Source organism: Homo sapiens, chromosome 5 (genome assembly GCF_000001405.40).
Source record: "Homo sapiens chromosome 5, GRCh38.p14 Primary Assembly".
Classification (NCBI taxonomy): Eukaryota; Metazoa; Chordata; class Mammalia; order Primates; family Hominidae; genus Homo; species Homo sapiens.
Window position 1 is genome coordinate 95,273,344 of NC_000005.10, and position 16,276 is coordinate 95,289,619.

Below are 16,276 nucleotides of genomic sequence, written 5' to 3' on the forward strand. Positions count from 1 at the left end.
TGCACAGATCAGCCTTGCACAGGAGAGAGGATGCATATTTTAACATGTTTGCAGCACACTACCTTGATTAAGAATGAAAATTTCCAACAGAGCCCTTGGATCCCAACCTCCTTCATTATAACTATTTCTCCAAATATGTAGCCACCCTGGCATCAAGCACCATAAAGATTCAGCTAACAGGTATATGTAGGAGGTTTTCTTGTTTTGCCTGATTTTTTAAACTAACATGTTTTATTTACCCTTTCTTTTGCTCTATTAACACTCACTACTTTCAGTGCCTGACACTGCACAAAAAAGAGAACCATTTTATTCTGAAGAACTCAAATAACTTCAAGAATAGGAGCTATTAGAGTACATAGGTGACAATCTGACACTTAGGAGCCTGGCACCCTCAGCCATTCTGCAGAAATGCAAACCCAAAACTCAACCCCTACCCAGGGGGAAAAAAGATGTTTCAATAAAAGCATCTCTGAACAGAACTAGGAAAAATCAAAAACATAAGAAAAGGGGAAAATACGCTGTGATGAACTCTTTTTACTCCCCCTTCCCTGGACATTCAGCCAATCCCCTGATCCCGCAAATCTTTCCATCTTTCTGTCACCAAGGTCAGAGCACAGCCCAGCTGCAAGCTCTCACTGAGACTACTGTGGCCTCCACATGTTCTCCTGTTTCCACATCAGCTTCGCCCTCCTAAGGCTCAGGTTGACCCAGTCACTACCCTGCTCAATTGCCTCCAGGGTTGGAGAGTACACGTCTCAGCCCTCATATCTGGCCACACCTTCACTCTCACCTTCATTCTCACTACCCCTCTGCCCACACCCTAGCTTTCAGTCCCGCTACTGACTTCCCATTTTTTGCATACACAGGACACTTATTTGCCTTTGTGCTTAGGCAACAGTCTTTCAATATCTCCCTATGTCCAAATCCTAATCACACTTCAAAACTAGGAAGTGGCCGCCAGACAGAACACCCTCAAACTGTTACCACCAAGCCTACAGACCTCCCTGCATCCACGTCCACACTGTCTCCTTCCATCTGCAATGGAAAAGGGGTGCTTCTTCTGGCTAAAGGCTAAGGGAGACCTCCCTCCCATGGCCTGTGGGACCCACCCCAACCCATGTACTTAGGAACCTTCTCCCATCAATTATCCCCCTTTCTCCTTTATCTTTGACCTCTCCCTCTCCATAGGCTCTGCCCCATCAACTCACTCAAGGTATCTCCATTTATAAAAACCTTCCCATGAACCATTTCCAACACTTTCTCCTTCTCCAATTACTGCTTTCTTTTTTTCTTTTTTTGAGACGAAGTCTTGCTCTGTCGCCCAGGCTGGAGTGCAGGGGTGTGATCTTGGCTCACTGCAAACTCTGCCTCCCGGGTTCATGCCATTCTCCTGCCTCAGACTCCTGAGTAGCTGGGACTACAGGCGCCCACCACCATGCCCGGCTAATTTTTTGCATTTTTAGTAGAGACGGGGTTTCATCATGTTAGCCAGGATGGTCTCGATCTCCTGACCTCGTGATCCGCCCGCCTCGGCCTCCCAAAGGCTACTGTTTTGTTTTATCATCTGTATAGAGCCAAATTGCTTGGCCACTCTCCCTGTCCCCACCTCCACAATTTCCACATACCCCCGCAACCACTGCAGCCTCACCTTCATCTCACCACTCATTTCTCCTGGCTGGTGAACTCATCCCATTAGTTTGTAAAATGTATTGACGCCTACATGTCATATTGATGCTTACATGTATTGCCCCAGACAACACATGCCTAGCACTTGCCCAGCACTTGGGGGAAGGGGAAGTGGGGAGAGGAGAAACCAGATATGACCTCTCTGAGTCAGAAGTTCTAACTGATAGCTAAATTCATGCCAGAGATATATTTTATTTAACCTATGATGCTTTTAAAAATATATTATTTATTTGACAAAAATTCAGGAATCTAAAGACTTCACACAAAAATCTGGGATTTGGCTTCTATTAAAGAATCTAGAAGCTCTGGCAACACGGTTTCTTTCCCAGGTGCCAGTATTCAGCTGAGAAGCAGCTGCTCCTTCCAGAGGGCAGGGGCTCCCTGGTCCACCATGGCCCCACCAAACCCTCTTGGCTCCTTGTCTTTACTTTGGTGGCCCCTGTGGGCATTGGAGTTTGGAGTTTGAAATCCCTGCTTTAGATCAGTGTTATCCAATAAAAATACAAGTATGAGACACATATGTAATTTTACTTGTAAAACTAACTTTAATATTATATTTAATTTAACCTAATATATCCAAAATGTTATCCCAACACGCAATCAATATAAAAAGTTTAATAATGGGATATTTCATATTCTTTTCTTTGTACAAGTCTTCAAAATTCAGTGTGCATGTATGCATTTTACACTTATAGCCCATCTCAATTCTAACTAGCCATGTTTCCAAAGTCCCATAGCAAAATGCGGGTAGCAGTTGCCACATGGAACAGCACATCTCTGGATGCTAAATGGTTGTTACAAGAATCAGATCTTGCAAGCAGAGAAAGTCGGGATGAGAGAGAATATTAAGGAGAAAGAAGAAAGCTGGCAGGACTAAGAAAGTGGGTGTGGATGTTAAAGAATAGGCATGTGAGATGTTTAAAAATAGGAGGGAAAGGGACAAGGACACAGAGACAATGAACCATGCTCAGTGAAAAAATCTGCTCTAGTCTAGTCCTCCATGGGAGAAAAACGTCCTTTATAAGCAAATGCAGTTGATGGGCAATGCAGACTTTCTGGAGGGAGGATTTGGGGTTTTTTAACTAAGCTCAGCATTAGACAGGAGGGGTCAATGTAAATATCACTTGGCCACTTGTGTGAACTCCACTTCACACACTTGGTATTTAAGAGGCAACAGAATGAACCAGGCTAGTGAGGACAGGATTCTTGGTCAATATTGGGATTTTTTTTTTTTTTTTTTTTTTTTTTGATCGAGTTTCACTCTTGTCGCCCAGGCTGGAATGCAGTGGCGCTATCTCAGCTCATTGCAACCTCTGCATCCTGGGTTCAAGCGATTCTCCTGTCTCAGCCTCCCGACTAGCTGGGATTATAGGTACCTACTCAACACCCAGCTAATTTTTGTATTTTTAGTAGAGATGGGGTTTCACCATATTGGCCAGGCTGGTCTTGAACTCCTGACCTCAGGTGATCCGCTGCCTCGGCCTCCCAAAGTGCTGGGATTACAGGCGTGAGCCACTGCGCCCAGCCAATATTGGGATTTTAATCTGAGTCATGGCTGGAAGTAAAGGGAAGATAAGAGACTTTCTTAGATAATGGGCTTGGGATGCAGAAGAAGTGCTAGGTACAAAAAACAGGTCAGGCCGGGCGCGGTGGCTCACGCCTGTAATCCCAGCACTTTGGGAGGCGGCTGAGGCAGGTGGATCACAAGGTCAGGAGACTGAGACCATCCTGGCTAACATGGTGAAACCCCGTCTCCACTAATAACACAAAAAATTAGCCGGGCATGGTGGCGGGCGCCTGCAGTCTCAGCTACTCGGGAGGCTGAGGCAGGAGAATGGCGTGAACCCAGGAGGCGGAGCTTGCAGTGAGCCCATATCGTGCCACTGCACTCCAGCCTGGGCCACAGAGGGAGACTCGGTCTCAAAAAACAAACAAACAAACAAACAAACAAAAAACAGGTCAAGGAGATGGGTCAAGGAGAAGTAGCAGTGAAGAAGGAAGGGAAGGAGAGTATCTTGAGCCAAGATCCAGGCAGAATTCAAGACTCAGAGGCATAGCTAAGTGAGGATGTATAGGCAGGAATCAGAAATCCAGATGTGTGGGTGCAATGTCAGAGGCCAGAAAGGAGACTTGGGTGCGAAAAATGGATACCCAGAGTCAGAGTCCAATACCAAGAACTACATCCCTGACCCGGAGACCTCAGAAGTAGGATGTTTTTCCATCCTCCATGGGAGCACAATATGGCAGCCACTTAGTAGGTACCACATCCTCCCCTCACCAGGCTTTAATTCTGCTTCTTGTCTGCCCAAGAACCAGAATTAAAGTCTAGGCTGGCAAAAGCCAAGCTACCAGCTGGTGGAAGAGGGGAACATCAAATATATCTGCCAGGCTTAAAAGGACTTGGAATTGAGAAGGCAATAATATCATTTCACAAACATAAAGCGATTTTGAAGCTTTTCCAGAGGTCTTATCTCTGAACAGTTCTAGCCCACCCATTCATCCCTTCATTCATTCAGGCACCATTTATTGAGTAGTCTTCCCCTGAACTGTTTTACAATGCTGATTCACTAGGTCAATTGTACTAGGGATTGCCAAATTCCACTCCAGCAGAGCTGGCGAGGCAAGTGAAGGTGGTTCAGGCTTAAGCAAAATAAGTTCAGATTGTTAATGCTGAAGGGGCCTCTCTAAATGAACCCAGTGGGATTAGGAGGATACAAAGATCCTAAGATGTCCAGAGGTCCACTTGTCTATATTTGTTGTAATTTTCCAAATTGGCTAGGACCCAAGAGAACAGGAAATAAGGCTGGTATAAAATATCTCGAAAAGACTTCACTGAAGAGAAGAAAATTGTTCTCTCAAGAAGGCAGTAAGCAGGACTTTTAAATCTCATTATATTACAAATACAGTTTTCCATATTGCAATACAATCTCATTATGTTACAAATACAGTTTTCCATATTGTAGTATGGAATATTGTATTTGGAATACAATATTCCATACTACAGTTAAATACAAATATTTGGAGACTTTAGGGACATTGCAGCCTGATATTCTGCCAGAAAAAAAAAAAAAAGTTTCTAATGGTAAGAAACTGCTACATATTAGAGGGGAAAATGTATTTGGATAAAATATTGAATTGTTAGGGATAAACTTCTCACCTCTGATTCATAAAAAGCACTGTGAGTTAGAAGAAAAGGTTGATGGTGAAGAGCAAATTAAAATGGCACATAAAGTTAATGATGTAGAAAAAGGCTGTATCTTCAATGGTGCCGACAAATCAAAATTTACAAAAACTGTAAAGGCTATTTGTTAAGTGAACAAATGACTTGAGAAAAAGGTGCCTCTTCTTTGATTCAATAATTAGCTTTACAGAAAGGTAAGCATGTCATAAACAGGTATGGTTTATACTCTAGTTTTATAAAAACATGCACGTTTATATAAAGCAAGTTCTAGGATAATATCTACTTCGTTCACATTAAACAAACAAACAAACAAAGCCCAGTATGCAAATAATGACCCTCAGTTATCAAGAAATGGTCTTATTTAGAACGCTTGACTTACTGAGGCAGGGAAATATGTGATTTTTAGTAAGTTTTCCGGTAGCAAAAAGAAATTAAAGCAAAGAACTTTCTGTTTCAAAAAATTATTTTCAAGCCAGGCATGGTGGCTCATGCCTGTAATCCCAACACCTTGGGAGGCCGAGGTGAGCGGATCACCTGAGGTCGGGAGTTCGAGACGAGCCTAACCAACATGGAGACACCCCGTCTCTACTAAAAATACAAAATTAGCCAGGCGTGGTGGCACATGCCTGTAATCCGAGCTACTCGGGAGGCTGAGGTGGAAGAATTGCTTGAACCTGGGAAGCAGAGGTTGCGGTGAGCCAAGATTGCACCATTGCACTCCAGCCTGGGCAACAAGAGCAAAACTCCGTCTCAAAAAAAAAAAAAAAAATTATTTTCTGCTTACCTAATGCAGATGCCTGCTACGATATTATAAATAGATATAGACCAAGAAGAAAAAATATATATAACCTAACTTCTAAATCTGCAGATTTTGTCAATGCTTATAAAGTTATGTGGACATATTATTTATACTCCATTAACCAGGATTGGTAAATGATTTAATAAGCATTATGATCAAAGAAATCATATTACATGTTTCCTTTAGGTATCAAAAATATATTATTAACCTTTATTTTGTGAAATCATTTTCAAACAATGAGGTAAAAGAAAGAGGAAGAAGAATGTTCTATTTTTAAATGAATCTGCTAATCCCATTTTTTTCCCTCAACATAACATATTCATTCTTCATGATAATGCATACATACTTGCTAAAAATAATGTAAGATTTTTTCCATTGCTGTATAAAATTGTAATGTCACCAGTACTACCTTGATTTGTCACAGGCTACTTTTTCCAACACTGCAAGTAACATAGTTCATATCCTAAATTAAATAAGAAGGAATGGCAAAGCACCCTGTTAATTTTTTTCAACCACACACTTATTTGTAATAGCAGCAATTGCAAAACTTCAGTATACTTTCCAATAATAATAACAAGCACAGCAGCAATTGCTAATGTTTATTGAACACTTGCTATAGTTTAAGCCAATCTCTCATAACATCTACATGCTAACACTTCCATTTATGCAAGATTCATAGTTCAACTCAAATTTGCCAGACACTTATTATAGCAAGTAAAGGTTAAAGGGAAATATGTCATCCTCTTTACTCCCTTTCTTTGGAATAAGCTGATGATCCGAGCACTTTTCATGAATGCTATCACACATCAAACTCCACTTTCCACCCTGCTCCAAAATGTCCTAAGGTCTCATCTACCCTCTCTCACTTTCAATATGAAAGGGGTCATTTCTGAAGCTAGACCAGTATAAAGCTACTAACATTGTTTTAGGGGCTTGATTTTGATATTATTAGTTTTCTTCAGTGACTTTAGTCGTTTATAATAGGAATTATGTTTTTAAATCTGTGCCTTCTTTAAGATGGAGTTGTGTTCTTTGAAGTCATAGTAAAAACATCTGAAAAATTGCAAAAATCAACCCAAGTCATGTTTTTGAATCATTTTGTTAAATATGTGCTTTATTTAAAAGCTCAGCTAATAAAGCAAGATACACTTCATGTATAGACTTAATTGTAGAAAATTTTTTTTCCACTTTTTATCAGGGCTTACAGATATGTTGTAGGAATCTTATCCCAATGAATAGATTCCTCTTGCTATGTTTCAAAACATATCTAACATACACTGAATAATTTTCCTACTTCTTTTCAAAAATAGTTTATCCTTTGTGAAAGCAATTTTAACAAAATTTATTTAAAGAGAAAAAAATAAAAGTTCAGCATTCATAAACACTACATGCTTTTGTTAAAATACTAAAAAAATGCAACGTATTCATTCCTCACTCTTTATCTTAAAATACTGACTTTCTGATCCTAGCAAAACATAATTTTAGTAACTCGTCAAGGCAGAATACATAAAATTGGCATATTTTTGATATGCACACAAATTGAGAAAGCATCTTTTCCAACTGTGTTGCAGAAAATGAAATGCATCTGGTATGACAATATGGCCCAACACGTGAACCAGAATCAGTGGGAAGAAAGGGATATTTTTTTTTCCTTATTCTCAAAACAGAACATTTGAAATAATGCACATCCCCCAACAGCAAGGCATTATTAAGTCTGTTAATACATATTGCAAAGTGTGTTTGGCTAATGAAAACACAATAGCAAGAGGACCAGCAGGCACATGGAAAGTAGCCTGGTTTGTTCACTTTTACTCATATATACCCGTGACTCCCAAATCTCTTTCCCCAGCCGTCCAAACTGATTTTTTTTTCTTTGCTTTTGCTTAACATCTCCACCCACTGTCAGAGTACGTGCACATATGTTGTTGGGGCCTCGTGCTGGGCTAGGGAGGTGGAGACGTGGAGAGTGTGTTGGAGAACATGGCTTATGCCAGGATCAAGCAGAGAACAAGAGAAAAAATTAAACAATTTGCCTATTTTTGCAATACATTTTATTTCTGCCTTGAAAGAAAAGTCTTTTCATCTAGGCACTCTAAAGATGTATTAAATACTTTTATTGTGTTTCTTTCTTGAGTACTGTGCTTGTGAACTGTGAATAAAGCTGAAATCTGTATGTGCTACACACCCCTTTCCCATGCCCAGGTCACTTTGGAGATGAGCTGCTGAGAGAGTAAGGAAAGATCTCTGAGATATTCAGGAAGCTTGGAAGAGTGCTGCAAAGCTAAGCTGACTCCTGAGCAGCTGAATGCATCCCCTTCCAGGTTCCAATTCCATTTTTTCCTCTTTCCCATTCAGAGGTGAGCCGGGCTCCTTTGAGATGGGCAGAGAGGTATTTCCAGGACTGAGAAATCCTCTCTTTTACATTGGTCAGAGAGTGCTGCTGAAAGCCATTATTTGTGACTCATTACAGAGAAATCTCTCCACTTCCCAGAGAACAAGGCCCCATGAGCAGCAGACGCTAGGGACCAAAAATGGTATCTCTTTCTGGGACTGTGTCTGGCATTGGGCAAGTCCCTCAGGGTTTACCATTCTGTCTGCCTATATCCCATCTTTCTCTTATTTTTTGAAAGATATTTTAGCTTTTCTATTTCTCTTATGTCTATGTCGAAATGCTGATTCTCTATAATGAAAAGCTTCTTCAGAGTTATAGATCATGATAATCTCATTCGTGACAAAATATACATGCAACAATACATCACAGAACAAATTACAAATTATGATAGCTAATCCATCATAGAATTGATTGTATATAGGGATGGGGAAAAATCTCCAGAATATACGTAAACTTGCAAGGCTCTACTTTCATCAGTAAGACCAAAGACATCTAAAAAATGGAACAAGTTCTAAAAGTTGTCAAAGGTAGCTGTCATAATGGAAAAAGATTCTGGAGACTGACTTGAGTACAAAACTTCTCTCTGTCATCTACTAACTACGTGACCCTGGAAAGCTTATTTAACCTATGTGAGCATTGGTTTACGAATCTGTAAAGTGACAATCACATAGGTCTGCTGTGAGGGTTAAACTATGTAGGGCTATAAAATGCCCAGCATATGGTGAAGGCATACATAATAGTGTTAATTTAGTATCTTCTCCAGAATAAGTTTATATCTTTTGTATACAAAATTCATACTTACATAGTAGTGTTTTTTTTAATAAAGATTGACAGTTTCTGAAAACTTTTTGGCAAAAAGGAACATAAAAAATTCAGAGTTATCTATTTTTGCTTTAAAAATATCTTGGTTCAGTGAACTGTAATGTGATTTAATAAGTTAACATTCACGGTAATATGATATATACCTTTCAAAATAATTCAATTATTATTTGTTATTCTATTATCCTTGATAGTGAAAGAAAAAAATGTAAAGTTCCCCAACTCTGAAATTCTTCTACATTAGGATTATGTACACGCTCAAAAATAAATACTTCCTTTAATATATAGTATTCATCTATACTGAATTTAAAACATTCTTCTAAAACCATTTATCACTTTACTTTTAAAACCAAAAACAGGGGCTCTATCCAGTTCACTTTCAAGATGACAGGAAAGGTAAATGTATTTGGTCTTTTTGTCACTATTATCTCTACTTACTCTTCTGAGAATAAAATATTTTTCTGGATCATCAGGTGTTTGCTTACAGCAAGCAATTTTGTTTATTAAGGAACAAAACATATTCATATTCTGCTTTACTTTCTGGAGCTACACTAAGAAATCAGTCCATGAACTATAAAAACTTCCAACTGAAAGCCTATCTATTCCCGTATCTTACCCTTCAAACACAGCCTGTTTCTTTGTAGCTGAGCTTTTAATCTACTAATAACTAAAGTTTTAATGCAAGTGTCATTCATCTAACATAATTAATCAGAGTCAAAACAATGAGAAAGTGTAAGTAAACTAAGATATATTGGGAGAAAAATGTTCTTTAGGTCTCTGGCAGAGTGAAACTTCCAAAATATTTTCTAGAATTAAAATGATTTGATAAACATTTACAAAAAGAGCAGTGCCTCTTCGAAATTGAGGGAGTAAAAACGGCTATTCAGTGGGACACATTGTGGGTCCCACACATAAAATTTCTAGTAAAAGCACTTTTACAAACCTTGACTCTTGTCTGAGCAATCAACATGATGTATAAAGCAGCATACTTTAAAAAGCAAGTGCTTCAGGTGACTATTAAAACTTCACAAGGCTCATAGGAACATATGCATTTGACTAACTGGGAGGAGACGCTCCCGCTGTCCACTTGAAGGGCGGTGATCCAATTGCAGCAGGAAGGTTTAAGAAAGGGGTGCCGGATGCAGGCCTGAGATGATGCTTTCCCTGGCACAGGACCTCACATGTGCCATAATTTACCTCTCCACGTTTCTATTTCTTCCCGCCAGCCATTTGCTTCCAATGGTACCTCTCCACACCACCACACGTGATCGTAATTGTTTTTAAGTTATTGGGTTAGTTTTTTCTTTTGCCAAGATGAGATTTGGCTGGACATCTCCTTTCAGGAGAACTCTAAAAAGTACCCACTTTAGGTCTAACTTTTCATTGACTACTCAGAAAGCTTCTGGTGACAGGTATCATTTCTACCAAAAGTAAAGTCCGGGTGCAAGTCAGAACTCTTTCATCTTTGCTAAACCAGAGCGAGATGTTTTCTTTCGACTGTTTCATCTACTTAGAATTAATAGCATTTCTCCTCCCGCCTCCCGGCCCCCGCCCCCCGCTCCCCGGGTGGTGAACGCCTGAAGAGGGAGGCGTGGTCCCGCGCACCTTGTCTCCGGCCGCGCCACCGGCACTCACCTGGCTGCTGCCGTGCTCCTCGCCCGTCTCCGGGGCCCGAGACTCCGCGGGACTCCGCGCCGGCTCTGCGGGAGGAGGCGGCGGCTCCAGCAGCTGCTCCAGGCAGGCGGTGCCCGGCAGAGAGGAGCTCTTCTGGTGGCACAAGTGCGCCCCGGGGCCCTGACGCCGTGCACCCTCATCTCGGGCGCGGTCCCCCCTCGGGGGAGGCTGGGGCGAGGAGGACAGGGAGGATGAGGCGGAGGAAGAGGAAGGAGCTGAGTCGGGGGAGCGTCCGCCAGGAGGCGTCCCTCCCGCTGCTCCCGAGGCCGCCGCGGGCCCCTTTACGGCGGGGAGCAAATGCTCGCGGATCCGGCGGCGTAGCGTGGACCCCTGCTCGGCTCTGCCGGCGCCGCCGGGCTCCAGGGGCTCCGGCGACGAGCAGCACAGGTTGGGCTGCGAGGAGGAGAAGACTCGGTCCAGCACTTGCTTCCGCTTCTTGAAGCCGCTCCACCTGCTGCCTGCACCACTCCCCCTGGCCGGTGCATTCCCTGTGCCCACCGGGGGTGGCGGGGAGGGCGACGGGGTGTCCGCAGTGCGGCGCTCTGGACCCCCAGCGCGCCCGCCCCCGCCGCCCTTGCTCCTGCCCACCCCCAGCTGCAGGTTCTTCCAGAGCCGGGCCTGGAAGGAGGAGGACGCCGCCGGCGGCTCTGGCTCGCCCGCCGCGGCAGCCCGGGGCTCCATCCTCCACCCCCTGCTCCTCCTCTCCCCTCCTCCTCCTCCTCCTCCTCCTGCTTCTCCTCCCTCTTCGGCTGCACCTCCTCCCGGGTCCCCGCGGCGCTGGCGGTGGCGGCGGCGGCGGCGGCGGGCGCAGCAGCAGAAACCGGGAGTGCCCAGCGACTTCAGGCCAGCTCGGGGGAAAGAAGCGGCCGCCGCCGCCGAGGCTCTCTGGCCTCGGGACTCCGGCGCTGCCTCTTCCTCCCGCACCTGCTGGGGTGGGCTGGAGCCGTAACCGAATCCCGGCCGCGGCGCCTGCAAAGTTTTTCCCTCGAAGCTCCGCGGCTCCAGTCCACTGGCGTCCCCCAGGCCGCGCCCTGGCTCCCTCTTCTCTCTGACCGAGCTCGGGAAGCTGCACGCACCGGGGCGTGCGCGTCCAGCTGCGCCAGGGACCGCACCCGGCGCCCTCTGGGCAGCACCTGTCAGCGGCGGGGGCGGCTGCCTCCAAATTGGGCGCGCACGCGGCTCACACAACAAGGCGCGTCTGGCTGGAGACTCCGGGGACCAGCAGTCCCCCTGGGGCGCCCCGGGACCATCCTCCAGCTCCTAGGTGGGAGGGCCGGTAGGAGCCGGGTGGAGCTAGGTAGGGCCCGAAGCCAGCTTGCTCCCTAGGATCCGGCCACAGTTGCCCAGGCAGCTCGCTGTGCGCTGGCCGCTGGCCGCGCTGGCGATCGTCTGGGTCGGATGAAGCGAGCTGGAGTGGAAACTATGTGCCCTCGATGGGTCTCGTGGGGGCGCCGATCGTCCACACTGAGCGATGAACCCGACGGAGTTCTAAAGCTGAAGACGTCTGCCCCCGCCCCGTTGCGCTCCCTGGGTCCAAGACGAGAGTTTAATTTCTTCTGTCTTGACTTCATCCCCATCCACCCCTCCCTTTTCTTTATTTGCCTCTGCACTGGTCTCTTATGATCAGGTTCTAGCATTTCCGGAGTCTGACGATAAAGCCAGCCCTTAAGTTGCAGGGAGTTTACGGTGGACGAAGATGGGTGATGCGCACTGCCTTTGATCCGATTCGGCACGCACAGAATCTTGTTCTTTTCATTCAAGCGCATTTTTTCTTTGGTTACTTCATTTGCTTGTTGCAAGGCAAACGGAAAAGGCTTTTTAGCTCATTCAGACTTTGCTTCTCCCAAAGCTGCTCAGCCAGGGTCTTCTGATTCTGCTAGGAGAGACTTCTGAAAGGCCAGCAACACAATGCCTCTTTCGTCCTCCTAAATGGGGAAAACGGGAGAGTTCCCTAAGCTGCGGTAGCACACTGATCAGTCTTGTCTAGCTAGCAGTATGCTTTGGAGGTGTTACCAACCTAAGTTTTTTGTTTTGTTTTGTTTTTGTTACCTTTATAACAAATATTTATTAAGCACCTACTATATACCAGGCACTGTGATAGGCTCTGGGGATGCAGCTGTGAACAGGGCATCAGGGTCCCACCCACATGGAGCTTATTGTGAGGGTGAGGGTTGGGAGGTGATGCGAGACAATAAACAGAATTTCTAATATGCAAAAGTCCCATGGAAACAGTTAAGCAGGGTACCACATAACAGAGTGGCTACAGAGGAAGAGCTTCCAGACAAAATGCAGGACACCCAATTAAACTGACTTTCAGAGAAACAATGAATAATATTAGTATATGTATGTCCCAAATATTGCATGGGACATACTTATACTAAAATACTATTATTTATCTGAAATTTAAATTTAACTGGGTGTCATGTTTTTGTTTGCTAAATCTGGCAGCCCCATATGGAGAGGTTTTTGGTTTTTTACATTATGTGTACAGGGAGAGTCTCTCTGAGAAGATAAAATTTTGAGTTAAGACTTAATGAGGACAGAGAACCAGCTATTGACGGATCTGACTGTAGAATTTCAGGTAGAAGGAACAGCAGATACAGAGGTCCTGAGGCAGGAAGCAGCTTGACTGGGCATATTCAAGGACAGAACGATACCACTCCAAATAGAGTAGAGCAAGGTGGGTGGGGTTGGTAAGAGATGTAGTGAAACAAAAGGTCAGCTAAGGGAGTGGGTCCTATAGCCAGAGTGAGAGTCCATGTTTCCTCTAAATGAAATTGGGAGACATTAGAGGTCTTTTTTAATCGTGAGGGTAATGTGATGTGATTTACTAATACTAATGCCAGGTATTAATAAATAGCCTCACAGGGCTATTTTGAAGATTAAGTGGAAAAAGGACTTAGCTCAGTGCCTGTATATAGTTGATATTATTGTTATTTGGTAGACCCAGTATTTCCCAAGTATATGAATACTATGCTTTGGAAAAAGAGCAACGTGAATGGAGAAACACTGGGCTGCATTTAAATAATATTATTGAAATGACAAGATTATAGAGATGGATAGTGGTTGCCAGGGGTTAGCGGTGGGGCAAATGTAAAGGATCAGAATAAAGAAGTTTATTTGTTATGATGAGACAAATTTAGATTGTGGTGGTGGTTACATGAATGTGTGTTATACACAGGATAGGACTGCATAGAACTACATACATATATGAATGCACATAAAAACGTGACATCTGAATAAGATAAGTTGTACCAATGGCAATTTCCTGGGTCTTAATATTGAACTATAGTTATGTATGATAATATCATTGGGGGAAATTGGGTGAAGGTCACACAGGAGCTCTATGTAGTATGTTTGCAACTTCCTGTGAGTCCATAATTATTTTAAAATTTAAAGTATAAATAAAAGCAAACAATAATAAAGCATGTTTTTTTGAAAAAATTGTGTGCTGCTGAAAGTTTTCCTTTGGAACCTTAATAATTAGAGAATGAAACAGTCTTAGAGCTACGATGGCCTACCCTTTCTTTGTAGCTCTGTTCTGGCCAACCCCACCTAATTCCTGAGGAAGCCTCTGAGAAGCAAATGAGGGAAAAGTCAGGACTGGTGAGGCAGAGTCCACATTAGGGCAAGCTCACAACTGCAAAGGTAAACACAGAGGCTGTGAAGCACTCTCCACACAGAATAAGAAAAGCCAACCACATTTGCCTTTATGGAGGTACCTCCCCACCGGGTGAAAGCAGAAGGGTTGGCATTTTTCACTGGCTTTTCCTTCCTCTTCACTCCAGTTTCCTTTCTCTGTATTTTATTTCTGTGTTAGTCCTTACTTTTCAAAGTTTCAGGTAAACCTTTTAAAGTTTCAGTTAAAACTCTTCAGCTAAATTATAAATATCATAGCTAAGTCTAACTGTGTAAGCTGGTGGTGGCTTAAGTGTTAACTCTCTCTGGAGTATTTATGAGCTTTATATATGGGAGCTTTATAAAACTGAAAATCTCCATCAAAATAAGTAGAAACCTTCATTAAGGACTTGGCCATTCAAGGTAGTGTTAGTCTTACAAAGCGAGCTACACACCAACTTCAGAGGCTTTCGCTCCAAACCTGCATCAATCCCTTATTAAATCAATATGGAGATCATTTTCAAAAGCCCAAGGCAAACTGTCTTTTCTACACCAATCAAGCTGAAAGCACCAAGACCACAAAAAACTACCTGAATATAAAGCTGCTCTGAAAGCACAAAAAGAAACTGGACTACCCAGAAATCTTATTCTCTAGAGAGAACAAGAGGAAAAATATTTTGTTTCTAGTTTGTTATAATTGTAGACTGGAGATAATGCTACACAATTCAACCTTAAATTCATTTAGTCTTCAATGCATTTAATTGACTTTTTAATATTATTTTTCTCTTCTACCTGTCTTAAAATACTCTGAGATATTGAGTTCTGAAATCTATAATCCCAAATAACACATCCATCATATGAATTCATTTACATATCTTGAAAAAGCATATGTAACTTTTCCTAAATATCTGAAGTGGATTATAAAATGAGACTGTCCTACAGATTGTATATCATATAAAGCTACACTAGATAAGGTCTCTTCTGTCAAATGTCTTATTATATTTAAGAGAAGATATTTATAAGAACCCTACAACACAAGCAGAAAGTGAATGGTACAAATTAATCACTGAGGAAGTGAAGAATTACTTCTGGCTTGACTAACCAAGGAGGACTTCTTGTTGGAGGCATCTGAGCTAAGATCTAGTGCAGGTGGCAGGGTATAACAAGAAGATGGATTGCCACCAGCAAGGAAAAGCAAAATTCATGCCATATACCAAGACTTTAATAAATGTTAGCTATTCTTTTTATTATTTTCATTAATACAATTTACTGTCTCGAATATTGATATTTATTGCTTAGATTAATATTAAATATGCTTCAAACATTGATATTCAGGAGGTTGAAGTGATGTATAAGCCACTTATACAATATTTATACAATGTATAATTATACAATGTATAATATTTGAGCAGAAACCCAAAGGAAGTGAGAGAAGCAGCCAAATAGTGAATCTGAAGAAACATTTTTCCAGGAACAGGAAACATGAAGTGCAAAGAGGCTGAGCAGGAACATTCTCAGCTTCAACAATGGCAAGGAGGGCAAAGTAGCTGAAAGAAAGAGAGCAAGAGGGGAATAAGAGGAGAAAATATTGCAGAGAAGCTCAGGGCCAGATGATACAGGATTCTGTAGGCGACAGTAAAGACTTTGGACTTGGCTAAAATGGAAAGCCATTAGAGGGCTTTGAGTAGAGTTTTTTAATAATCAAATTGCATTTTAAAAGGCTCATTGTGGCCTCTTTGTTGACAATAGAGTAGAGAGGTATGGATGAGAACAGAGTTTAGATAGGAGCCCATTCTGGGAACAGAGTTTGGATAGGAGCCGTACAAAAGGGACAATGATGGCTTCCACTCAGGTGGTAGGCAAGAAGTGGTGACCACAGTGACATTCTAGATACAGGACATTTTGAAGACAGAACTGACAGCTGGGCATGGTGGCTCTTGCCTGTAGTCCCAGCTACTTGAGAGGCTGAGGAGGGATGATCACTTGATCCCAGGAATTTGAGGCTGCAGTGACCTATGACTGTGTGACTGTACTCCACATGGGTGATAGAGCAAGACCCCGTCTCAGAAATAAACAAATACATAAAATTAAAGATAGAGCTGAGAGG

At 42.8% G+C, this 16,276-nt stretch overlaps 1 protein-coding gene across 19 annotated transcripts in view, besides 2 other annotated features; it reads right to left on the reverse strand.

Moving 5' to 3' along the window:
• The window catches only part of MCTP1 (multiple C2 and transmembrane domain containing 1), a 581,405-nt gene extending 569,654 nt beyond the window's left edge, over positions 1-11,751 (reverse strand). For all 19 annotated transcript variants that reach the window (XM_047417718.1, NM_001393537.1, XM_047417715.1 and 16 more), the window contains exon 1: positions 10,513-11,751. In XM_047417718.1, coding sequence (XP_047273674.1) covers positions 10,513-11,232 — 720 coding nt within the window. In that variant the 5' untranslated portion in view covers positions 11,233-11,751. The remainder of the gene's footprint in view (positions 1-10,512) is intronic.
• Positions 10,840-10,959: a silencer, noted in NCBI's record as "silent region_16180". NCBI's record gives its function as "represses an Ori minimal core promoter by ATAC-STARR-seq in GM12878 lymphoblastoid cells {active_cell/tissue: GM12878}" and the evidence as "EXISTENCE:reporter gene assay evidence [ECO:0000049][PMID:35858748]".
• Positions 11,040-11,099: a silencer, noted in NCBI's record as "silent region_16181". NCBI's record gives its function as "represses an Ori minimal core promoter by ATAC-STARR-seq in GM12878 lymphoblastoid cells {active_cell/tissue: GM12878}" and the evidence as "EXISTENCE:reporter gene assay evidence [ECO:0000049][PMID:35858748]".
• Positions 11,752-16,276: the final 4,525 nt, after the last annotated feature.